At 38.2% G+C, this 25,073-nt stretch overlaps 1 protein-coding gene across 14 annotated transcripts in view, besides 4 other annotated features; it reads left to right on the top strand.

Moving 5' to 3' along the window:
- HIVEP2 (HIVEP zinc finger 2) overlaps positions 1-25,073 on the top strand; it is a 194,265-nt gene that overhangs the window by 74,978 nt on the left and 94,214 nt on the right. Inside the window, exon 1 of one of the 14 annotated variants that reach the window (XM_047418707.1) lies at positions 1-25,073. This exon is cut by the window's left edge and continues 14,798 nt beyond it. The exons of the other annotated variants lie outside the window; for them this stretch is intronic. The gene's annotated coding sequence lies outside the window, so the exon portion shown is untranslated. 14 annotated transcript variants of the gene reach the window in all.
- Positions 21,882-21,981: an enhancer, noted in NCBI's record as "active region_25184". NCBI's record gives its function as "activates an Ori minimal core promoter by ATAC-STARR-seq in GM12878 lymphoblastoid cells {active_cell/tissue: GM12878}" and the evidence as "EXISTENCE:reporter gene assay evidence [ECO:0000049][PMID:35858748]".
- Positions 22,552-22,621: an enhancer, noted in NCBI's record as "active region_25183". NCBI's record gives its function as "activates an Ori minimal core promoter by ATAC-STARR-seq in GM12878 lymphoblastoid cells {active_cell/tissue: GM12878}" and the evidence as "EXISTENCE:reporter gene assay evidence [ECO:0000049][PMID:35858748]".
- Positions 23,968-24,017: an enhancer, noted in NCBI's record as "active region_25182". NCBI's record gives its function as "activates an Ori minimal core promoter by ATAC-STARR-seq in GM12878 lymphoblastoid cells {active_cell/tissue: GM12878}" and the evidence as "EXISTENCE:reporter gene assay evidence [ECO:0000049][PMID:35858748]".
- Positions 24,074-24,767: an enhancer, noted in NCBI's record as "NANOG-H3K27ac-H3K4me1 hESC enhancer chr6:143167126-143167819 (GRCh37/hg19 assembly coordinates)". NCBI's record gives its function as "activates a minimal SCP1, AML or CMV promoter by ChIP-STARR-seq in primed H9 embryonic stem cells {active_cell/tissue: H9 hESC(primed)}" and the evidence as "EXISTENCE:reporter gene assay evidence [ECO:0000049][PMID:30033119]".

The raw sequence follows: 25,073 nt of genomic DNA, 5'->3' as shown, positions 1-25,073 counted from the left end.
GAGTTTTAAATCTTTTTGTGCTTCACTTTTCTGCTGGTAGAACAGGGATGATTATTATATGGTAGGGTTGTTGTGAAGCCTAACTGAAGTAATGCACCCAGAGCACTTGCCACTCAATACAGATTACAGGAAGAAATAGAGTTCCATGTTAAAGTGATGGAATGTATCATTCGCATCTCTCAGACTGTTGTGGATTCTATCTGATGGGATTTGGTTCAGTTTGATGACCTGTCTCTTGAGAGTAAATAAAAGGGGGCAGGAGGATGCTCATGGGACGTCAGAGAAAGAAGAAGGAGAGGCCCTATTGTACATTCCGCAAAAAACAAATTCATGCGCTTTATGGGGCCTGGCAGTTTATAAAGTTCTTTCATGTACATTGATTTCATTTAATCCTCCCAACAACACCTGTTTTACAGATATGTATACTGAGCCTCAGAGACACTCAAGGACTGGCTCACAGGCATGTGGTCAGTGAGAGTGCGGTGAGGAAGCAGACCTCCTGGATTCTGGACATATTTCTTCATTCCAACCCATGGGTCCTTCTCTGCTGTATAAAAATGTTCAAGTCAATAATAACCTTTGGTGCTGAACCCCAAAGGATTGGCAGGGTGTGGGCTGCTGCAGACCCAGGTGGGTCTTGGTGGGGATCCAGGACCTTCTGTCTGTGATATGTAGAACATGAATGCGCAGCCCTTCAGTGGTCACGGCTGCCAGATGGTTTTAAGAGTCCCCTGTCTCTTTGTGGCCTCTGAGTGAGGCTTGCATTTCAATCTCTGTGAAGGGCCACTTTGGATCAGTGTTCTGTGGGAGAAATTAAGGGTCAGTCTTCTCTTTTTGCTAAGAAGGAAGGTAATGAACACCTATCTAATGGTTGAACATGTGTGTGTTTTACAAGATTAATAGTATTAATACCCTTTCAACCCAAGCCTTTTTGGGTCACTGTGTTAATAAAATGAAGTTGGAGAGTAGAGTAAAATAATTAATGTATATATAACGTAACTCTTAGTTTGATTTAACTGGTTAATCTGTGATTCAGTATACATTTTTAATACATTTTAAATTTTAAAAGTGGCGATACACTTTTACATTTATTTCTTTGGGTTCTGAGATTATAAATAGCTTTAAAAGTTGGAGTGCCCTATTTGTCATGCTAAAAATCAAGTGAGTTAAGACGTGGGAAAGTGATCAGAGAAAATTCAGTATAGTACTTCAGAATTTTTAAAATACTGAAAACAAATTTTAAAATTAGTTATTTCACACACATTAATGTGTAAAGACTGCATTGATTTGGGTATTACATTTGAACACATTATTTTTATGAAATAATTTTTTTATTCTGAGTCAGAAATTTGTACATAGTTGATACTATATATATTTATCAAATGAATTTGTTTTTATGGAATAAAATTTTGATTAGCTATAATATACTTTTTTTTGGCTACATGCACTTCATTTTTCAGGGAAGAGGTAGGTAGCTAGAAGAAAGCATGACATACTATCAGTAATTTATTTTTTAAAGCAACATCTAGGCCAGGATTTCTCAACCTTGGCATTGTTGACATTTGGTTCCAGATAATTCTTTGTTGTGGAGGGGCTGTCATGTGCAATGTAGAATGTTTAGCAGCATTCCTGGCCAGCTACCCAATAGATACCAGTAGTTTTCCTTCTCCCCAGTTGTGACAATAAAAAATGTCTCCAGACATTGCCAAATATCCCCTAGGGGGCAAAATCACCCTTGGCCGAGAACCACTGATCTAGGATTTTCAACATTATATTTAAATCTTCTACCTAACCTAAATCTACATTATTCTACAAATTTGAATCGATGTTCAGACTTACACTAAAAAGGAGAAAATGCTATACTTACAGAGGCAATACTTATCAATTATGAAAAATAAGATTTTTCAACAACATGGGTTAGGATAAGTGTTTTCTGATTAACCCTTATTTACCATAATATAATCCAATTAACCAGAATTTCACACATTTGAAATAATGTTTTATCCCCTTATTTTCTTTCAAAATAGATATATCCCCTGATTCTGAATTAATTTATAATAATGATCTGGATAGGGCTTTTTAAAAACTTTCAAAGATGGAAGTAGTATTGTAGTTTGCCCTATATTGAATTAGATCATTCTGGGTATTCCTCATGCACATACTGAAAAGTTTAATTGCCTTTATAGTTGGGTGTGTGTCTTGATGAATAAGGATTTGTGCAACATGAGCTGAAGAGTTAGATTTCAGAAGTCCACTTATCAACTCTTTCATGGACATTTTAGCATAAGGAGACAAATAGACATACTTGGTTATTAATTATTATAGGGATATAGACATTTCACTTGGCCCGAGATTTAAGTGATTGCTCTTTAAAATGTGTTTTGCTCATGATAGAATGTATTTTTGTTCTTGTGAACCATGCACTGAAGCTTTAGCCAATCAGAGGAAGGAATTTACTGTACGGTAAAAGGAAGTATTTGTTCCGTTATTGTAGTATGTGGCCTCTTGCCATTTTTGATAAAGGATTGAAGTGTTGTGCACCCAAAGTCTGCTACCCTCTTGACCCTTCATCAATCATCAGCTGGACTGTGAGGTTAAGTGAACTGTAGCCCGGTAGGATAACTATTGTTTAAGCATTGTGTAACTCCTGAAAGCGGAAATTACTGACACAGCTGACTTGCAATGTGATCTTTCTAGTTTTAAGATTATATGCATAATTTTCCTTTCTGTTTCTAATCTATGCCAGATTAGAGGTATAAAATGACAGTATATAGGACTTGAAGTCATGTTATTCAATGGATGACCGTGAGACTGTTGGAAATTTATTTTTATTTGCAAGAATAGGAACCTGTGCAAAAATAAATGACCTATTCTAGCACAACGTTTCAAGAAATTCATATGGGATCCTATTGGAATTGTTATTGCCTTAAAACCACTAGGATAGCAACCAAGTCTTGCATGCGAATCCACCTTTATTAATGCGTTAGTTACTGAAAGCATATATTTGTCCACATGTTTTCTAAGTAACTGGCAGCATACACAAATTCTTTTAGCACATATCCTGTTTTTTTGATTGGCTCAGGAAAACTTTATAAGAGCCATGTCCAACATTCACAGCTTTATGTCATCTCGTCTCTGTATTTATGTCACTTTCTTAAACAAGTAGAGTAATATATCAGCTGCAGCTGTTGCTGACCAAAGCTGTCACTGAAGTGGGTGGAGGAAGAGTCAGAGATAATGTGTTCAGATTCTGTGTACCAAAAGCATATCTGTTGCAATCAATCTGTAACGATAACAACTGGCTTGTAGAAGGCACTTCAAGCCAGATACTTTTTTATCTTTGACCAAATGTATAGTAGATTAGATGCCATGATGATAAATACCACTGATAGTTAATACAATCTGGTTGAGTATATATATGATTGCCTGGCTTGTATAATAAGAAAGACCACTGATGTGTAGTCTTCACCAGGTTTGGCCACAGCCTTCCTGTAAAGTTATTAACACAAAACTTGATACTTAATAGCATGCAAAGAAAAAAAAAGACTATGAAATACCTAATAGCAAAAGAGTAAAATCCTTGTTTTCTGATATAGACAGTGATGCTTCCTAATAAGTGTATTTGGATTAAAAGAAATATTCACACTAACACACACGTCCAATTATTTATTACAAGAATTCTACCACCATACTTACCCAGAGCAGGTTGGAAATACTGGAGTCAGTACCTCTCTACCTAAGATTTCTTATAACCCTCTGGATCCTTACCCTTTGTCAACTTCTCCTGTTCACCAGTTTACCACAGGGAGGACTGAAAATTCCCACTGGAAGATTATAGCTTAATTTTTATTTTCTTTTTCGCTTTTTATAAAGATAGTTAATGGCAAAGGGAAATTGTATTTTAGCAGTTAGAAAGGGGTAAGTAGCCACATTGGCCTGAGGCTCATTGCACTTTCACCCCATTAGAGTAAAATGAAATCCTGATGTGGTCAGATCAACTAAGGGAGAGACCGACCTCAAAGATAAAGAGAAAGCCCTTTCCACAGCTTTATATATTTATCCTTTTCCCAGTAATTCTCCTCGTTGTCCTTAGCATCAAAGTACCTATTTCTTTTGGAATTACTATTCTGCCTTATAAAGAGAATCTCCCAGACTAAATGCTCATGGTATAGAAACTTAAAATTAAAGGTAGGCACTTTGACATGGATCTACATACATGGGAGAAAGAGGTAATAAAGGAGTTAGGAGTTAGCACTGACCTAACGCTACAAGAAAATTTCACAGCAGATGTGGAATTTCAGGAACTGTCTACTAATGGGAAATAAGGGTTGTAGAAAAGGAAGAAAAATTAAGTATGGCCAAGTATTATTGAGCATCAATGATTATGCTCAGTGATTTATTAGTAGCTAACATCTATTGAGCACTTACTGTGTGCCAGGTAGGAATGCTTTCTGTGTATTAACTTATTTAGGTTCTCAACAAGTTTTCAAGGCTGTTGCTGATATTATCCTCATTTTACAGTTGAGGGAAAGGAGGCAGGAAACTAAATAACTTGCCCAAGGTTCTAGAGGGCATTAGAGGCAGAGCCAGGATTAGAATTCAGAAAGTCTGATTTAGAGCTTGCCTCTTCACCAGTTGCAGCATGCTGCTTACCTAATTTAATTTCCACCACAGCCCTCCAAAACAGGTATTTTCTTCCATTTACAAATTTTACAAATGAGGAACTCAAAGCCTAGAGAGGTTAATTTTGTCAAGGTCATCCAGCTGGCCAGTGGTAAAGGAAGGATTCGAACCAAGGTCTGATCCTCAAAAGTCTGTGCTTTTTCACTGTAAGAAGAGGCTGTCTTGGGATGGCCTAGAAGTGTAACTGACAGAGGGATCCAGCTCCTTCCTTGTAAGTTAAGATTATTAAAAAGCTTGTATAGGTTGTTCATAACTCGTCCCAAGGCAGTAGAGCTGATGTTTACTGAAGCATGCGAAACGCTTTCTGGTTCACCTCTATCTTCTAGAAATCGTCTGCCTGCCATCATCCTAGGTCGTGTGCTTCATTTCATTTGGTGTGCCTCTTTTCAATGTACTGGGCTGTTCTATTCCTGTTTATAAATCTTTTAAGTGTGCACATTAAAAAAGTAATTAAAATGTCATTATAATTTATAGTATGCCTGAAGTCAATCACCTAATTAAACTACAAGAGAGAAGAGGTGGTACGTTCGTAGGCATTTATGAAGTATTACTGTATTAATTATGCAGGGATTTTGAACCAAGTAAAAGAAAAAGGTACTGGTAACATTATTCCTTAAAGTGTTTCCTTTTTTTTTTTCTTCTCAGTTTCAGACCTTCACTAGTTGGTAGCATAACCCTAATGTGTCTTTTGGCTAATTTTTAATGAAATTAGGATTTTTATGTCTTTCACTCAGCATTTTCTTAAAATGCTCCTGACAGCATTAATGTGCATCATCCCACATCCTAACTGAATAAGCAATTAGAAGCACAATAGAAAACAAAATTTGAATTCATGGGTTATACATAGCTATCCAAATTCTCTTTTGGAGTATAAAAATGGCAGCATATTGGATATCTGGAATCATTCAGAAGAGATTTGGTTTTCCTGGAGCAATAGTAGCTATCAAGAGACTTATTTTCTTATTAAAGAACAAAAAAGCAACCACAACAAAAACAAAAACAAAATTCACATGGCCAAGTAAAATAGGCTGTAATAAATCTCTTGCTGGAGGAAACTATTTTTGAAAAGCTGTTTTTGAATTCTAAGTGCTAGCACATATAGGTAGATAGACACAGATATAGACATAGTTAACTTTTGTTATGTGAGAATTGATGACTTGGATAGGTGTTTCAGCCCCTTGGGAGGTCTTTGCAGTTTGTAATGGAATTGGTTGGCTATATGAATTCTTACAGGGTTAGGACCTTCAAGGAAAGGAGAATTCTGAGGGATATGATTTAGTGTCATCCATGTGAGTGAAAGATTTGTGCAGTGAATTTTTCCTACCCTGTGTTTATTATTTTGGAGGATGAGTAGAATGAAAGGCTCTAATTCTCAGAAGCAATCCTTAAAAAGAAAGGCAATAAAGGCATTTAACTGTTATGTAATAGCAAATGTATATAGCTTCAAGTTATTAGGTGCTCAAAAAATTATTGGGTGAACAAGTGTCTTGTGTAGACTCCAGTTTTCTTTGTTCCTCTATGTGCATGTACAATATCCTAAACGTATAAACAGTTTTCATATTAATATTTATTATTTTTCGCTAAGTCACAAAAGCTGAGTTGACCTGTAGTGTACTTGAAGTATTAGTAATAGTTAAGAAGTTAAAATGTGGATGTCAGTTTCTTTGGAAAACTTCATTCTGAGTGATAAGCTGTGATGTTGAGGAACACAGCTCTTTCTGCTATTGTGAGAGCAGCACTTTACCCTCCGTTTCTAGGCTGTTCCTAGAATTCTTGGTTAAAGGGACCTCCAGGCTCCAGGTGACACTCCTGTAGGCTGCTGGTGATGGGACTGGGAGTTGAGCAGGAGGTGAAATACAGAGAGTGAGCCAAGGCAGGTTTTAGTTCAAGGCTGCTGGGCTGAGGGGGAGAGATAGACAAAAGAGTAAAATACTCAACAAGGGTAGCAGAGAGGAAAGAAAGGACACCCCCTACAGCCCTCTTGCTGGCTTGGCTGCTTACTGGGTGGTCTTTCCAATGGTAGGGGCAAAGGTAAATCATGCACATTTAATTAGAAAATTGCTAACACACACATATCCTCTTAACACGATCTTTGTTTACAGCAGTATAAACATTTCTCCACATGGAACCAAAGCTACATAAAATAATAAGCATGAGATTTAAATAAAGATTTTGCTTATAAGTGTGTTTTTGGGACCTGTGGACTACAAATATTCCTTGAATCAGTGCTCACTGGAATGTGAGCTTTCCCACAGAAAGAAGTGTGTCTTACTCCTTGGGGGATCCTAATCTCTGTCCGAGAGATTCATACAGAGCAGGGACCTCAAAATGTGCAATATGCAAAAGCGTAGTTAGATGAATGTAGATGTGAGGTATTGTGAAGATTTTGGTATTTTTCATTTACTTTAAACCTGGCATGACATTTACTATTGAATTTGACCTCTTCTCTAAACTTATTTTATTTCCTCTTTCTTTCTGAGAACTCAATTAAATCTCTTAAAAAATTCATAACTTGATATTTGCGTGTCCTGTCTTTAGAAATATTTTGTAATATTTTATCAGATATGCCTTGATTCTTCAGAAAGCAATATCTTAGAAAAGCTATTTTTTGTATAGTAATTGTTAATAGTCATTAGTAATTTAAAGAAGTTAATTTGTAATTTCCAAAAGAATCTGAGATTTTGAAATAAAAACAGTCTTAATGTGTTAATGTCAAGAACATTGGACAAGGCAGATACAAAAGATTTGGTTTGTATCTAGGATTTACATTAAAGTAACACAAACTACTATAACTGGTAGTTTATTTTAACATATAGTTTTGTTATAAGAGGTTTTATATTAAATTTTGTGGTGTACTCTGGAGCTGTGAACAGGGAATTTATTAAAAAAAATGCAACAGAACCTGTTCTTGCCTTTTTTATATATTGCATTTGCTACATTAGCAAATCTATTATATATTATGTAATATATTTATTATATGTAATTATATATTACATATAATTACATATATTACATAATATATAATATATTATGTAATATATATTACATATTGTATGTAATATATAATATATGTAATTATATATCATATTATATATTACATATAATATAGTACACAATATATATTATATTATATGTAAAGTACAATATATTACATTTTATATAATACATATAATCTATTATATGCAATATATACATATAATAGATATTTATATATTATATATAAATAAATATATATAATTTATATATTATATAAAAATATATATGATATCTAAATATATTATATGTAATATAATTACATATAATATATTACATAATATATGTAATGTATAATATATAATTACATAATATATGTAATGTATAATATATAGTTACATATATAATTAAATGTAATAGATATAGTACACAATATATAATATATGCAATATATATTACATTTCATAAAATATATAATACATATAATCGATTATGAATCGATTATATGTATTATAAAATATATGATACACATAATCGATTATGTGTATTATAAAATATATGATACACATAATCGATTATATGTATTATAAAATATATGATACATATAATCGATTATATGTATTATAAAATATATGATACATATAATCGATTATATGTATTATAAAATATATGATACATGTAATCGATTATATGTATTATAAAATATGTAATACATGTAATCGATTATATGTATTACATATTACATATATAATAGATGTATTACATAATATATAATAGATTTGCTAATGTAGCAAATGCAATATGAAACTGTCAAGTTAGGAGAAATTGGGAGAAATTGTCTGAAGGAGTGACACTTATCTTTCACATCTGGAATCTAGTACAATACATTGCTTTATTCTTGTAAATATGTTAGTCAAACACACGTTTTGGGTATTAATGTTTATTCTCTACAGTGTAAAAAGAGAATGCAGGGCTGCTAACAGATTCCAGTATAAAAGATTGATAATAGAGTCTTAACAAACTGCTGGGCTGATGTGCCACTCTAACTTTATAAGCCTAAATTTCCCTGAAAAAAAATTTAAGTAACGGTATAAAACTTCAAGTGCCACTTTGTCATTGTTGTTGGTTTTAATTATTACAGCAATCAGTAGCCCTCAAGCTATTTCCCCCATCTTCCTGCAGCTGTCCAGAATAGCCATCTGTTCTTGCAGGTGGGCCAAATTCTAATCTCTAGTAAGGCTTCCACCCGGACTGGTGTGCTTACCTACCATTTCTTTCTTAGGAGCCCGCTTTGAAATGGAATCCTTTTCTAAACAGAAGTTCCATACACTGAGTTTTATCTATTTATAATTTGAAAGTGTGGGACTGACAACTTTGAACTTAGATGACATTAAATTGTTTGGAGGGAGAGGGCAAATTTTAAGGGCATTTACTTGATGATTTGGAAAGAAAGCCCAAACAGATTCTTTTGGAGTGTTAAATTTGGGATATTACTGTTTCATACTCATTACCTTTTACCAACAGTCGGATGGGAAAAATGTGTATGTGGGTTTAAAATAAATTCTGTTAGTATATGGTGCTATTCTACTGTATCCAAGGATACCTTCAAGTAATAGAATTACTTCTTTGCTCTGGCATTTTGCTTATAGTTCCTCCAATGTTATTGCCTCACAGCTCTGGTTTCCATGGGAGGAGACAATATGTTTTTCATATATAAAAATCTGGTTTATTCATCTCAAGCCATTAGTACCTATGTCAAAACTTCTCATTATTAGTAAATTTCATTTTATGTATGAATCATACAGGGGAAGGCCATTCCAATTGATTTGTCAATGAATGGGGAAAGACTGCTACTTGGTAATAATATATAAGACAATGATTATGTTATTTAGAAACGTACAGAACCAAAGAGGTCTATTATTCTAGCCTGCATTTTCCTTTGTGAATGAGCCTCAGCATTTGAATATGCTGAGAGTATTGTCTTCAGGTGTTACTTGCTGGCATGTCGTTCTGTTGTGATGTTTCTGCTATCTGATGTATGCATGTTCGTATACTGTCTGAGTAGATTTTAACTTCCTTGAAAATAGATCTGTGTCTTCTGTGAAATGATAGTTGACTTAACTTCTCTTTCTTTTTTAGTTTTTCCAACATTAAATAAGGCACATGGGAATTAAAGAAGCTTCCTCTCATTTTAAAAAGTCTATTGCTTAGACAAGTTGCAGAATTTGTGCGGAATAAAGCTACTACAAAATTTGTGCAGCAATGGATAGCCTGTAAAGCAGGGGTCCCAGTACCTGGGCTACGGATCACTAGTGGTCTGTTGGCTGTTAGGAACTGCTGCACAGCAGGAGGTAAGTGGAGGTGAGCGAGCATTACCACTTGAGCTCCGCCTCCTGTCATATCAGCAGTGGCATGAGATTCTCACAGAAGCGTGAACCCTATTGTGAACTGCGCATGCCAGGGATCTAGGTCTCTTGCCCAAAGAGAATCTAATGCATGATGATCTGTCACTGTCTCCCATCACCCCCAGATAGGACCATCTAGTTTTCCTGCAGGAAAACAAGCTCAGGGCTCCCACAGATTCTATATTATGGTGAGTTGTAAAATTATTTCATTATTACAGTGTACTAATAATAGAAATAAAGTGTACAATACATGCAGTGCACTTCAGTCTTCCCAACCCCCTGCCTGCCGCCAGTCCATGGAAAAATTGTCTTCCACGAAACCAGTCCCTGGTGCCCAAAAGGTTGGGGACCACTGTTGTAGAGCTTTATAGTATGAATGTACATATTAATAATTTATTTAAATTCTTGAAACAAATGATAAAATATACATATATTTTCCTTTCATCAGGAGTTCATTTAAGTTTTTATCACCTGGGTTCTTCTTAACATGAATGGGAGCAATATGAAGTCAATACATGTACATAACATACAAGGGTGATTGTGGCTCAGTTTTTTTCTTATCTTTTTTACAGTTCAGAAAAATGTTGGAGGTCCGAGGGGATAGAGATCTTTGCTGAATTTCTGTCTTTCCTTTAAGAGGAGAACTTACAGGAGAAAAAAAGATTTAACACTTTCCCTACTGTGAACTTTAACAAAAATGAAGATTTTGATTTTGCTTAGAATTCTTTCTTTTCAGGAACTTTCAAAGGATATTACCTCAACTTCTTGCATAGCAGTACAGTGATAAACACTTCTTTTATCATTTTCTTTTCTTTTTTTTCTTTTTCTTTCTTTCTTTCCTTTTTTTTTTTTTTTTTTTTGAGACGGAGTTTCACTCTTATTGCCCAGACTGGAGTGCAATGGTGTGATCTTGACTCACTGCAACATCTGCCTCCCAGGTTCAAGTGATTCTCTTGCCTCAGCCTCCCAAGTAGCTAGGATTACAGGTGTGCACCACCATGCCCGGCTAATTTTTTTACTTTTAGTAGAGACAGTGTTTCGCCATGTTAGCCAGACTGGTCTTGAGCTCCTGACCTCAGATGATCCACCCACCTTGGCCTCCCAAAGTGCTGGGATTACTGACATGAGCCACCGCGTCCTGCCTCATTTATCGTTTTAAGTTTTTATTTCTCTAGTCTTTGTTTCGACAAGCTTATGTGGATTCTTTTCTTTCTTTCTTTCTTTTTTTTTTTTTGAGACTGGGTCTTGCTCTGTTGCCCAGGCTGGAGTGCAATGGCAGGATCATAGCTCACTGCAGCCCCGACCTCCTGGGCTGAAGTGATCCTCCCATCTCAGCCTCCCAAATAGCAAGGACTACAGGCATGTGCCATCACACATTTTTTAATTTTTTGTAGAGACGGAGTCTCCCTTTGTTGCCCAGGCTGGTCTCGAACTCCTGGGCTCAAGTGATCCTCCCAGAGTAAGTCTTATTGCTATGCCTTTAAGCATATACTGTTGGCTGAGGAAATGCCTCAGACTTTTCTTGTAGGGATCAAAAGTTATAGTATTGGTTAAAAAAAATAGAGACAGAATGTGTTTCTACAGTATCTACATAGTTCCTGCCTTCAAAGTGGCTAATCTCAAATGATTCATTTAACAACACCCATCAAATGTTTATTGAGCACTTGTTATGTGCCAGGTGTGCTGAGCCCAGTCCTCAAGCTCCACGAGTTTATGGTTTATAAAAAAGGCATATGTAAACAAACTGCAGTATAGTAAATGAGGGTTTCCAGAGAGGTGGGCCCAAGAGATCAGGTGAGAGGGCTGGGCAGGGTGGCTCACACCTGTAATCCCAGCACTTTGGGAGGTCAAAGTGGGTGGATCACTGGAGGTCAGGAGTTTGAGACCAGCCTGGCCAACATGGTGAAACCCCGTGTCTACTAAAAATACAAAAAAATCAGCCAGGCGTAGCGGTGGGCACCTGTAATCCCAGCTACTTGGGAGGCTGAGGCAGGAGAATTGCTTGAACCTGGGAAGCAGAGGTTGCAGTGAGCCGAGATCGTGTCATTGCACTCCAGCCTGGGCAACGAGAGTGAAACTCCATCTCAAAAAAAAATTTATTTAATTAAAAAATAAAAAAATAAGAGGGCAGGTGAGAGGAGGTGTGATAAAAGATGAAGCAGATAAGGGAGGGGGGCATTTATTCTCAAGAAATATTAATCAAACACTTGTTATTTTCCAGGCACTGTTTAGGATACTGGGGCTATAGGAGTGAACAGAGCAGTGCTGCCTCCTTTGAGAGCTTCTATTCAGTGTGGGAGACAGATATTTATCATCCTGCCCAGCACTCATGCCTGTGTGTTAATTAGGTAGGGGAGAGGGGGGATCTGCAAGGAGGTGACATTTGCAGAGGGGCCAGAGTGAAGTGAGGGGGTCAGGCACCAGGAGCAGCCCTGCTACAGTGTGCACTGCCTTCATATACTTCAAACTCCTCTTGAAAGAAAGGAAATAACATGTCAAAGTGAGGAAGAGAAACGGCATAGTATAAACAGAAATAAGATGATATGTCTGGGATCTTGATGCTTTATGTCACTGTTAGTCCCCCAGCCTTCATCAGTAAGGGCTGTTTCCCAAGCCTGGGTTGAGATACTCTTCTAGGGGGAACAGCCTCTCTTCCCCCAACCACCTGTCGCCCTAGGTCAGCTGCAGCATCCCTGCCGGGGACCATGCATAGCTGGGCCATCAGGAAGCCAATGGTGGGGGACAGCTGCCTGGGGCAACACTGGGCCATAGATAAGTTCCCAGACCCAAGACCCGACCCCAGCCCCTCCTAGACAGCAGCCCGCAGCCCCGTGGCTTCCCCCCGCCCGCAGGAGAAGCCACACAAGTCTTAACAAAGGGGAGTCCCCGTGTGGAAAGAACAAATCCGACCTAAAATTAAACCTGGAGTTTTAATATAAAGAAATGCTCATGATTAGGTGTTTACAGCACCTAATCTTCAACAATTAAAAAGAAAAATGTGTGGGTGGGGTAAAAAATAGCAATACCCACACTCTGAAGTTTTGGAGAAAAACAGGAAACTAGTCTTTTTTAACCAGTGATGCCCAAAACTGGTTATTGCAAAGAGGGTTGTTTTTCTAATGCAGTGTGGTCAGCGCAGCTGCACCCGAAGTAGAATTCTGCTCATGATGCAGCCGTCTGTGGATTTCTTTAGCTGACAAACCTATAGACAGGCAGGCATAATTATCAGTTCTAACCTGGTCATTATGGCCGGATGGTGCTTGGAAAACAATTTGCACAAGTCCTGAAACCCCGTGAGAACATACAAAATAAGAGCATTTGGCGAATATGCAGTTATTTCCGGGAGTTGTGAATGACTTAGATCTAGGGGCTATACAATAGCTTATTGTAGAAGAACTGTTTGAATTCTCTTTTTATTTGGATTTTTTTTTAAGTTGACAGACAACATCTGATGGCAAATGACTTTTTTTTTTTTTCTAATTTGCTCATGAACTCAAGCTTCACTTTCTAACAGCGTTTTAGATGTTTCTACCTTTTTATTTTTGGCATTCGCTGGTTGGTGACAGTGAAGTCATGATTTTAAAATTGGGGTTACAGAGATGTTGTTTCCTGGCCACAGAGTCTCACAAATGCACTATCACCACTACGTTTCTGAACAACATGAGAAAAATGATCACAGAGGAGACCATTTGGGCAACACCTGACTAGATTTTTGTCCTTTTGAATAATGTAGAATGCTTCAGAACCCACTTGAAGTACAGTAATCCCCTTTATCTGCATTGTACCTTACACGGAAGTCCAGGTTGGTCTCGGACCAGTCACTGAGGTTTCCCCTCCACTTCCTGCTGTGGGCTCAGTGTCTTTGGGGAGCCCCTGCTAACCAGAAGTCTCCCTCACAGGTCATTTCTTTGTGTCATCTTTCTAAGGATAAAAAGGGGCATTAGACTTTTGAAAGTTGAGTGATATAACCTAGATTTCATTGCTGATTGCATTTTATGGTCTCCAAGCCAAGCATTTGGTTTGTGCATTGAAGGCTTTACGCTTGTCTGTTTGTATCAGACTTTACAGTTATCTCTTTAATAAGTAAATTACTCACGCTTCTCTTTTGTGAAGCTTGATTTCAGTGCTTGATCCAGGCAGTGTGCCTGGGCTTAGCAAGGCCCCCTCTCCAGCTGACTGCTGAGGCAGTTCCAAAAAAGGTAGTCATTACTGCTATTGATTTCTGTAGCACATCGGTCATGTTAGAATTATTTGCAGTGAGAGGGGAGTCAACTCCTTGCATATGACTTTTAGTTTCACCACCAATGTATTGTACATTGAAGTCTTCAGTATCTTTGAGTCTTCAGTGTCTTGGGGGCAGTGACCCAAGCAAGTCAAAGGAGATTCTTTTCACTTTTTTCTCTGGGAATGGCTTGGGGAGAATCCTGGATATTAAAGTGGTGCAGTAGGTGGAACTGGGAGACATAAATTCTCCTTTTCTTTTTTTTTTTAACCCCTTGCTGTCTGTTTTTTAGTGAAAAGCGATGCAGTTACCTGCCATTTCCCCCTTACCAGGATGTGGTAAAAAGTAACGAGAGAATGGTTGTCAAGCGTTGTCAAATACTGAAGACAGATATTTTATAAAGTGCCAGCTTTTACTGAAAACAAACACACCAAAAAACAACAAAACCAGCAAACAAGCATAATTTATCAGAAGGTCTCAAATTTCAGACACATTAACATCCTGGTGTTTCAGTTGGGAAAACATAGCCCTGTGAGCTTGTGATAATGTTGAACTGGCAGTAATAAGAAATAAGTGAAAGAATACTTTCACTTCTTATATATGCCTCCACCATAGTGTATTTTTAATAAGTTTGCATACTGAGATTTTGGAAATCTGTGGATACAAATATAATTTTACACTTTCATACCAGTAAAGCCTGAGTCCAACGTTGACACTCTTCCTTTTAAATGGCTCACTTAAGCATATGAACAGAAGCACTGCATAAAAAACTCAGTGGGGAGACTCAGGAAAACAGATTCCTTTCTTATTGTAGATCCATGAACAAAACCTATCTCAGCAGATAATTCAGTATAGTTGAGAGGTTCCCCAGAACTAATTTTGGTTTCTACCACGTGGTTATTAATACATTAAGTATTTGCCCATTAAAATTAAAGGCTCCTCAAATTCATACTGTTTGTGCCCATTTTGTTTTTGTTTGTGATTTTTATTATAACACAAAGACAGTTTAAAACACACTGTACTCTTCTTCTTCTGTCCTTCCTAATGATAAGATGGTGCTCTGGGGATGACGGTTACTTGTACAGAAGGTTGTAGCGGAAGAGGCCAGTGTGGAATGATTAGTCCTTTCCCTGCTGTGCACACACAAAGATTGGTCCTTCATCCTCACAGTCAGCATTTCTCATGTGGCCTGGAGCTCAGTGGAGACTTCGCCTATCAAGCTTGGGGTCAGCTTTTGCCTGTGTTCAAAAAAGTTGCTCTTGTGGGTGAACTTACCACGTGGGTGGTTCATCTATTGTAGCCCACAGACACTCCATGTGACTGGGACCCTTAATGAAGCGGGTTTCATAAGCTCCCTCTTACCTACTTTCTTTGGAGCCAATTCCCTTCTCTTTACCTTTTGGGAAGAAAACCAGCATGGTGGTGAGAACTGAAAGTGAAGTTGCAGATGACTAAGCCAAACTTTTTCTGCTTTTAGTTGAGGAAAAAAAGGACCAGAAAGAAGTTACTTAACGTTCCTTGCCCGGGTCATGGAGTCATTTGTGGTGGAGTGGACCTGAAAGCTGTGCCTGCTTTCATTCTTTTTCCTACATCCGGCCCAGTAGGACTTTTCCCTGGGGGAGATTATTGCTTTAATACTGGGTGGCTGCGAGCATTTCAGGAACGTGTGCATGTTCCTGGGTTGTCATTTGATGCTTGGGGAGGAATACAGCTGCTGTTTATGGAAAAGCTTAAGAAGCAGGATGTGGCATTGGTGGCAGGGTTCACATTCACAGAGGAGTTTGTGCAGTGCCTTCCCTGGAAAATTTCAGTTACATTCAGGTGATACCAAGTTCATCCCGTGCCCTTTCTGCCAGCCTCCTAAAGTTCGGCTGTCTTGATTGGACATCTTCAATTAAAAAACAAATGTCACACTTTGTAATTCTGAAGAATACTATGGGTTTTTTTGTAGAATTTCTCTTGGTTGAGCACGATCTTTAGGATGAAGTTTGAGTAATACAATTAGTCTAAAGGATTTTTGTTATAATCACTTGCTTAAACATCAGGAGCCTAGTGACATGTACCAAAAAGTTATTGCAGCAGAGTTACAATGTTACCGGTTTTCTTAGCTCCAGCATGGTTAGGCATTTGGAGCCAGATAAGTCTTTGTTGTGGGCGACTATCCTGTGCATTGTAGAATACTTACCAGCATCCCTGGCCTCTACCCACCAGGGTACAATAGCATACCCCTTCCCACTCCCAGTCTTGGCAACCAGAAAGAACTCCCAGACATTGCCTAGTGTCTCTTAAGGGGGCAGAATCACCCTAATTGAGAACTACCACAGGCTAACAATAAATCTGAGGGGGATGGCACAGCCACCAGCCTGAACCGGGTTTTTATGAACAACACAGAGCTTGAATTTAAGAAACCAGAGTAAGAAACAAAGACTGAGAACATTATGTGACTAAACAGTGAATATTCCCAGTCAGTGACAGAGTGAATGGCAACCCCAACCAGGGAATTCCCCGGTTGCCTTGTGGTAGGAATTCCCTTCTCTTCCTCAATTCTCTTGCCCTCAATTCTAGGACACTCCCTTTTCAAAGGCTGCTCTAGCTTCTGATTCACTTATTTTCCCTGCCCTCTTTTCTTTTCCATTCTTCTGCCATCTCTGCTGCTACCAATGCCTGGACCACCACTGCTGCCCTGACAAAAGACAAGAGCCACTGAGATTCTTCCTACTGATGCCCCTGGCCCATCTGTGTCTTGCTATTCTTACTTTGTTATTTACCTCTTAGAGTTTCACCTAGACTTTTACGGTCCTTGTAGGAAAAGGCAGTTTCATATCCTATTGACTCAATTTCTCAGTGTGACTATTTGACAAGAAGCTATGCCATCTAAGGTGGGTAGGTTCTATGTTGCTCTTATTACATTGCCTTAGGCGAATTCTAAATCAGGTTATACAGGCTTTTGAAGGGTGGCCTTGCATGCCAACCAGTATTTATGACACTGGTTTTAGAGGGAAACACATTCCAAATTTCAAATAGTAAGCTTAAAAGTGAACTGTTAGAGTATGATTCATTTTAAGTAGGAACTATTCTGGGAGCCGGAAGAACAGGTGCTAGCACCTGTTACAAGTGAATTCTTATCGAAACCACAGGGAGACCCTTTGGGTAGCCAGCTTAGAGTCCCTTCTCTACTGGGAGTGTAACTTCTCACACTAAGCCCCAGGCTCAGAGGGCAGACAAGCTGGATTAGCTAGGGTTTGCTTCTCTGATGTGGAAAAAAAAATAGATATCTGGTAATTTCCTTGGATTCCTTTTGGACATGATCTTGTGTACAAATCTGTGCCAAATGAACTTAATCTGCCAAGAGAGGAAAAGAAAAATACCTTAATCTATGGATCTAGCTACCAACTGAAGGAAGTCAATAAGAAAATAACTGGAATCTTAGCAGGTTCTAGAAAAAGTAAGAAAAGAGGTATATGTTGTACAAGTATGCAATTAAACTAAGAGAAGTTTGGAGTAATTAAAAGATAAGCACAAAAATACCTCACTTTCTACATCAAATGACAAATATTTATATCAAATTTTTCAAAGATAGGAATGTTTATCATTTTAGACTAGGAAAGATACAACACAGAAGACTCTAATACTCAGAGGGTTTTCCAGTTCTGAGTATCTTATGTATTTTTCCCCTGTTACTCTAAATTTGTCAAACTGCACAAATTGATTCATTAGATTGAGTGTTAAGTCTACCTAAACTAGAATGTGATAGTGATGGGCCAGTGACTTCTTTGGAGAAATCTCTAAAACATCTATGCTGATGAGTTTTGAAACTGGGTTCAGGGTGTCCTGAGACATCTGGGAGTTGTTGAAATAAAGTATATCTGTGGTGGATTTAAGAATTACTCTATATTTCAGGTCATGATAGGAGGGATACTTAGCTCCCAAGTTTTAAAGAATTTAGAAGAGTGCTGCCTTTCTCAAATATTGTTATGTAATTGATTATTCAGCATGCCTTTTGTTATGGGGTCCACACAGTAACAATCTATTTTCAGTGTCTGACCTTCACTAGCCCCTGAGCTCCATGAAGACAAGAATCATGGCTTATGGGAATGCACAATTGTTTGTTGAATAAATAATTGAATAAATGAGAGAAAAAAAGAGTTTATTGTGAGCATTTTATTAAAAAAAGCGAAATGCTACTTCTTGATAGAAAGATTAAATAAAGTCATTTCCCAATAATAAAGTTAAAACAAAATTTAAAATAATATAATGGACTGAAGTTTTAAGTTTGGTGGGAAATCTGTGGCTTTAAGAAGGAAGAAATAGACTATACTTTTTAAAGATAGAAAGCATGGCATGCCCTCCAAAATTAACCTAGTGGAACATGGTGTGTAAAGTCTCCCAAACCCATCAATTTTAGCCTTACTTTATAGTAATAAACACTTTTTATTGCCAAAGTAAATTAGGACAATGATCTGGGTAAAATAATGCTCTTGAGCTGGATAAGAAAGACTTTGATTTTCTTGCCAAATTTAAAGCAATGACCTTCGTTCTAAGTGTGAAAGCAGCATATCATTGTTGTATAAAGACATGAGTGAACCCCACTGAAACTCTTCCACCGTGAGGTTCTGTCATACCAGCTCAAATAGTGAGTAATCAGGAATGGTTCAATACATTAAACATTCTTTTGGCATGGTGATCCTTTTGTCAGGTCAGAATCATTATGACTAGAACTGAAAATTGAGTGCCAGTCATGGCAGGATATTTAGATTTCTTCAACCCATGTATCTTTTTACATTGCCACTATGTCTATTTTCAAGAGGGATGGTTCAGACTCAGGCTTAAAGGATTAAAAAACTCTCTCCAGCACTTACAGTGAGGCTGTAGACAAGTTCCTGAGCCTTTCGGGGCCTCAAGTCCTTTGTAAGCTAGGGTAATAATTGTACCTGCCTCATAAAAGATTAAATGGGAAAATACTCAGTAAATGTTGCTTTCTTTTATTTTTCTCTGTGATGATTGTTTCAAACTCCATTACCGTTTCTAGATCTTTCATTTCCTTAAGGTTTTCAGTAGTCAGCCCAAACTTTTAACATTCCTCTTTGTGGAAATCATAGCAGCCTAAAGAGTCTAGTTTGCCAAAACTATTTGCTACATCTTATAGAGAAATTAAATCATGCTTGGGGTGTACCTGTGTGTCTGTATATAAAAGAGCCTCAACCCTGAGTCTTACCACAGTGAAAGCAGGTGGACCCCACTCTTGGCTATGAGCCAAATCCTATTACTAGGCCTTATTGATTCCAGGCTGGCTACAGTTGCTTCCTCTTGTTGTTGCTTTTCCTTCTCACCTCTTAAGGGAGTTGGAAAACTCTAAATTCAACTTATGAAAGAATATGAAAGTGCTTCTATTATTTGTATATTTCCCAGAAACTAACCATCTAGAAGTCATTTCCTAAGTTATAAAGAAACACTTTTTTTCCTGAATTTTTCATCACATGAATAAAACTGGGTTTTCCATTATGATCATACAACACAAACCACCAGACTGTAAAACTAACATTTTTCAGTTGGGTTTCTTGCTTACTATTTTCAAAGTGACTGTTTTCTTGTCCTGCGACAGTGTTCAGGGTGAGAACCACGGTGAGGTATGACCCCAGATGGAGCAGGATGAATTAGTCATTATGTGCTAGGAGCGTGAGCAGTCAGTGAATTCTTTCAGGGTGCTTCTTCAGAAATTGTCTAGGTGGACTTACTGATAACTTATAATTGTCAGGCTTAGGAATTCCCTCCCATCTAGATGTCTGAATAAAATGTTTAAAAGTTTCTCAGAGTAGTTTGGGCAGCCTCTTTGTCATAATCATTTTCTTTCTTGCACAATTTAAACTTAGTTTTGATATTTTTCAGTGGAAGTTGTTATTATTGCATTGATTTTAAATCTGTTTCACAATAAGAGATTTAAGTGGATGATCTCTAAAGCTTTGTTCAGCTTGAAAATTATATGGTCAAAGTTTATCTTTTAGTAGTTTCATTTTCAAGATTTCCCCACAGTGTTATGCGATTCCTTATTGATTTATTCGACAGAACAGCAGCATATTCCTTCAATTAAAGACTCCCCAAATCATTATATCATCATTAGTAGTCAATTGCTGAGAATTTGAACTTTTATATTAACACAATCAAGTCATAATTATCTCTCCACTGTGGCCAAAATTTAATCCAGTAAAATATTGTTAGGACATTGTATTTTTTTTCAGGGCCATAGCTGTTAAAGGTCTCTCAACTAGAAAAATTTAAATATGCTCCAATCCCTTCCATCTTGAAAACAAGCAAACAATAAAACCAATAATCCTGATGGCTTTTCTAGCTACTACTTTACCTGTCCCAACTGCTTCACAGTTTCGACCACCTGCTTTCACGAGGAACATTTATAACCTCTTAATTTTGAAATTCAGTGACATCTTTTGGGTCTTTGACTTATTTGACCTGATTTGTGTCTGACTCTGTTTATCATTTAATTTTTTCGCCACTTGGTTCTGTGATGCTGTGGCTTAGTAGGCCTGTCTCTGTTCTCAGCCCCTTTGCACACTTCCTAGTCTTTGAGGCTTTTCCCAAAGTTCAACCCTTAAGCCACTCTCTGTAGCTTTTCAGACTGTTTTACAGAAACCCACTCTAGGCCAGGCGTGGTGGCTCATACCTGTAGTCCCAGCACTTAGGGAGGCCAAGGCAATCAGATCACTTGAGCCCAGGAGTTTGAGACCAGCCTGGGCAACATAGTGAAACCCTGTCTCTACAAAAAAATACAAAAAACATTAGCCAGGTGTGGCAGCACACACCTGTGGTCCCAGCTGCTCAGGAGGCTGAGGTGGGAGGATGGCTTAAGCCTGGGAGGTCAAGGCTGCAATGAGCCTTGATCGTGCCACTGCACTGCAGCCTGGGTGATAGAGCAAGACCTTGTCTCAAAAAAAAAAAAAAATAAATAAATAAAGAATCACTCTAGCTGCTAATGATGCTAATAGTCTTCAATACTAGTTTTTCAGTTCACATATTCCCATGGATTCTACATCTATGTATCCAAATGTCTACTTGGACATTTCTACCCAGTTGTTTCTAAGGCACCTCAAACTTAGTTTGCTCTAAAACCGAATATATTTCCTTTCAGCTTGGTTTTCCTCTTTTCCGCCTCACAAATGTCTACTGATTACTGAAGATCCACTGCAAGTGTCTCCACTGTCAGAGCTTCCTTAATAACTCCTCCTCTCTTTCCTATGGACTCTGTGGTAATTTGTACTACAGCACTTTTCATACTTCCTCCAAGCCCGGTATTCTCTAAGATCATAAAACACATTTGTGTACCTTTGCATACAGCCCAGTGCCTGGTGTGTGATAGGTGCATGGTAAATGATTGTTGAATAGGTTAACAGATGACATAAATAGCAAATTATAGATATTGAAATAGGAAAAAATAGATTTCACCAGGTAGAAAAGTGTATAAGTGGTTAGATATTAAAAAGATACTTTTTAGAGTGTTACAGAAAATAAAACAATCAGGCTTAGTGATTAGATGTAGCCTCTGGGACCTCAGAAGTGAAGAGAAGCCTCTAGTTCCTTTCATAGACTTGGGGTTGAACTGGTGCTTTCACTTGATTTAAATAGAGATCAGTTCATGGAATGGCAGCAGCAGTTATTTGGGTGACTTTTCCAGCTATTTCAAAAGCATCAGAATGGACAGAGCAGAGCCCAACTATTTGTTTCAGATTTTTTTTTTTTTGAGACAGTGTTTGGATCTGTTGCCCAGGCTGGAGTGCAGTGGCACAATCACAGCTCACTGCAATCTTAACTTCCCAGATGCAAGCAATCCTCCCACCTCAGCCACCTGAGTATCTGGGACTGCAGGTGCACCATGCTCCAGTTGAATTTTTTTTTAATTTTTATTTTTAGAGACAGAGTCTCACTATGTTGCTCAGGCTGGTCTTGAACTCCTGGGCTCAGACAATCTTCCCACCTTGGCTTCCCAAAGTGCTGAGATTACAGATGTGAGCTACCATGCCCAGCCTTTAGGAAAATATTCAGGTGCAATTCTTTCCTAAACATACTTCCTCCCTATTTCTTCTACACTTCCAAATACAGCTGTGTGTGTCAGGAAAAGAGGATATGAATGTTTTCATTTACTTAAGCAGTAAAAAATAATGGTTTCATTTACAGAAGTGATACCTTCCCCCATCCCACATCCATAGATAAGACTGTATTTGTGTGCTAATCATACCACTTTAAGTTATCTCTAAATCCACTAATATTAAGTTCATTCTTGGTGCAGTAGCTTCATCACAGTTCATTGATGGTAACATTAGAAAAAAGTTTGCTATTGGAATCCTTATGTTGTTAGGATTAGCCTCTAACTAAATGGAACAGGTATCTGGTTACCATGGGATAATCCGTTGTTAATGTTAAATATAAGAAGTCTTAGCAGTGAAGACTGATTTGTGACAGTCCTATATTTAGGATTAAGTTCTCTGCACTGTGATGCTGAACCATTGCAGAATTATGTTATATAACTGTGTTTCCTTTTGGCTTTCATAAAAATAAGAAACATGTTTCCTGAGGTCATCTTACATTGAGCAAAAATGTTAAATACATGAATAAAAATTCCACTTAGCTTTTTTTTAATATTAGTAGACTTCATGTAGATTTGTAGTCTTCATATATTTTGGAGTCTTATACTGGTTCAGTAGTCTTTTATGAAGAACAACAAACAAAACATCCTGTTTTTATAATGTTCAGCACAAATCCCAGTGGAATTATTACAGAAATAGCTGAAGTTCTTCCTATATCAGTTAGCAGTTGTTTAATTTTCATTATTTATTGTTACTCTTCAAAGTCATTTTTCGAAGTGTGACTATAACAGAATTGATTTTGTCATCAGGCACCGAAGTCCTGCTAAGTGTTAATTGCCCAGGGTTTTTATAAGGAGTTTGGAGATAACTCAAGTCCCACTACCATAGCAGCAGTGACCATTTTAAATCGCAAATATGTGTAAAACTCTTAAACTCTTTTTCGTCTTTTTTTTTTCTAACATTTCATGGCTTCATATTTCAGAGACTTAGTGGGATTACTTTAAGTGTTTGCTTATATTAAAATAAGGGAAAACCGAATAGAAAAGATGTTTTTAAAGGGTTGTAATATGGCTTTAGGACTGGTGAAAGAGCCAGAACGATGATTTGGAAGCTGAAAATAGCTCTATGTTTTATGCAATCAAGTAAAACTCTGTACCTTGGCATTCCCCGCACCAGATTAGTGAGGAATTGGAAGTGATTCCACCCCCAACATGCCATTATGGATGACACGCTGGGCTATGACAAACTGCTGGCTTAGTGGAGCATGTGCTGCTGGGAGTATAACCCTGAGGTACAGGGTGGATTAGAGTTGAGTGATCTCAACTCATATTCATTTCCTCTGAAAGGAAAACTGACCAGTCCTCTCTGTTCTAATGAGCATGTTTACAGCATGGCTTCTCAAAGTGGGGCCAGTCGCTTCAGGGGCAGAAGTGCACCATATTTCTGTTTGGTGCCAGCTTTACCTGCGTAGCCTTCACAGCACCTCATCCTGGTCCTTAAGAATTGCAGATTAAGACCACAGAACAGAGGGAGATGGATATTTCTTTTACACTCTTACAGGTTTTTTTTTCCTTAGTTTGTTTTTGATGTGTTGTTTTGCAAAACGCTGTGAAATAAGTGAGGACATAAGATGATTACTGAACTATTTCTGTTGAGCAAGTGGGTAAACCTCTCCTGGTAGAAGAATCAGAACCTCATCAGCCCAAGAGGCTGAGTCATCTTTGTGACTGAGAGGTTCATGCTTCACCTTAAGTCCTTGGTACCTAAAATGGGACTGTATGATGTGCCCTGTGAAATCAATAAAACTGTCAGGTTATAATTAACGTGTGGTGCTACTCTAATTAAACAGAATTGATGGGAAATATCTGGGAGTCTAGTAGCAATGGAACAATGATGTTTGCATTTAAATGATCTTAAGTACTCCTTAGACTTAATGCCCTATTAAGGGGACCGGGAGAATGTCACATCTCACTTAGCTGTATTGTGTTAGACAGTGGCCGCTGGCCGGGAAGGACCAGAGTGCATTAAGCTTGCGTTGTGGTGTCTGCCTTTGCAGACAGAAGATTTGGGAATGTATATTCTTTTCTTTTTTCTTTTTTTTTTTCTTCAAAGGAAATTAAATCACAGCCCTGACAGGAGAGGGTAAAATCTCTGAGAAGACCTCCCCAGTGCTTGGAATTTACAGACTCTACCACGTCCCAGTTTGCTATTGTCCTAAGGCAACACACTCCCCTGCCGCTCTCAGGCGTCTTTGGCGGCTGGCCAGCCTCCCAGGGCCTCTGGCTTTGATGTGTGGTGCAGGCTGTCCTCAGGCCAGGCTGTTGTTGCCGTGGCCTGGACTTCGCTCACACTGGATGCCAGGAGGGATGTCCTGTCTGCAATATACATTTCGACAGCCTGACAGTCCTAGTGATCGTCCTGCGGCAGGGGGAGCCTGCCTTTGTCTCAGCCACAAGTGGCTGTCCCCAGTCGCTTAGCTTTGCTGTGCTCTCTTTTGGTGTCTGCGGAAGACGAGTTTGCACCCAGCTTGTTGTCCGGGGGAGGGCCTCTCTGCCTGGGGAAGACAGCAGCTCTGCCAGGGCGCTGTCAATCTGAGGAGCCTCCTTGGCAGGGCTCTGGGGAACCGACCCGGCGAGTTGAACAGCTTCCTCTGGGGACATTGCATCGACCTTCATTTGATTTAAGCCTGGCAGCCTG

The sequence above is a fragment of the Homo sapiens genome, chromosome 6 (assembly GCF_000001405.40).
Source record: "Homo sapiens chromosome 6, GRCh38.p14 Primary Assembly".
Taxonomy (NCBI): domain Eukaryota; kingdom Metazoa; phylum Chordata; class Mammalia; order Primates; family Hominidae; genus Homo; species Homo sapiens.
This window is presented reverse-complemented; position numbering and strand designations above follow the sequence as displayed.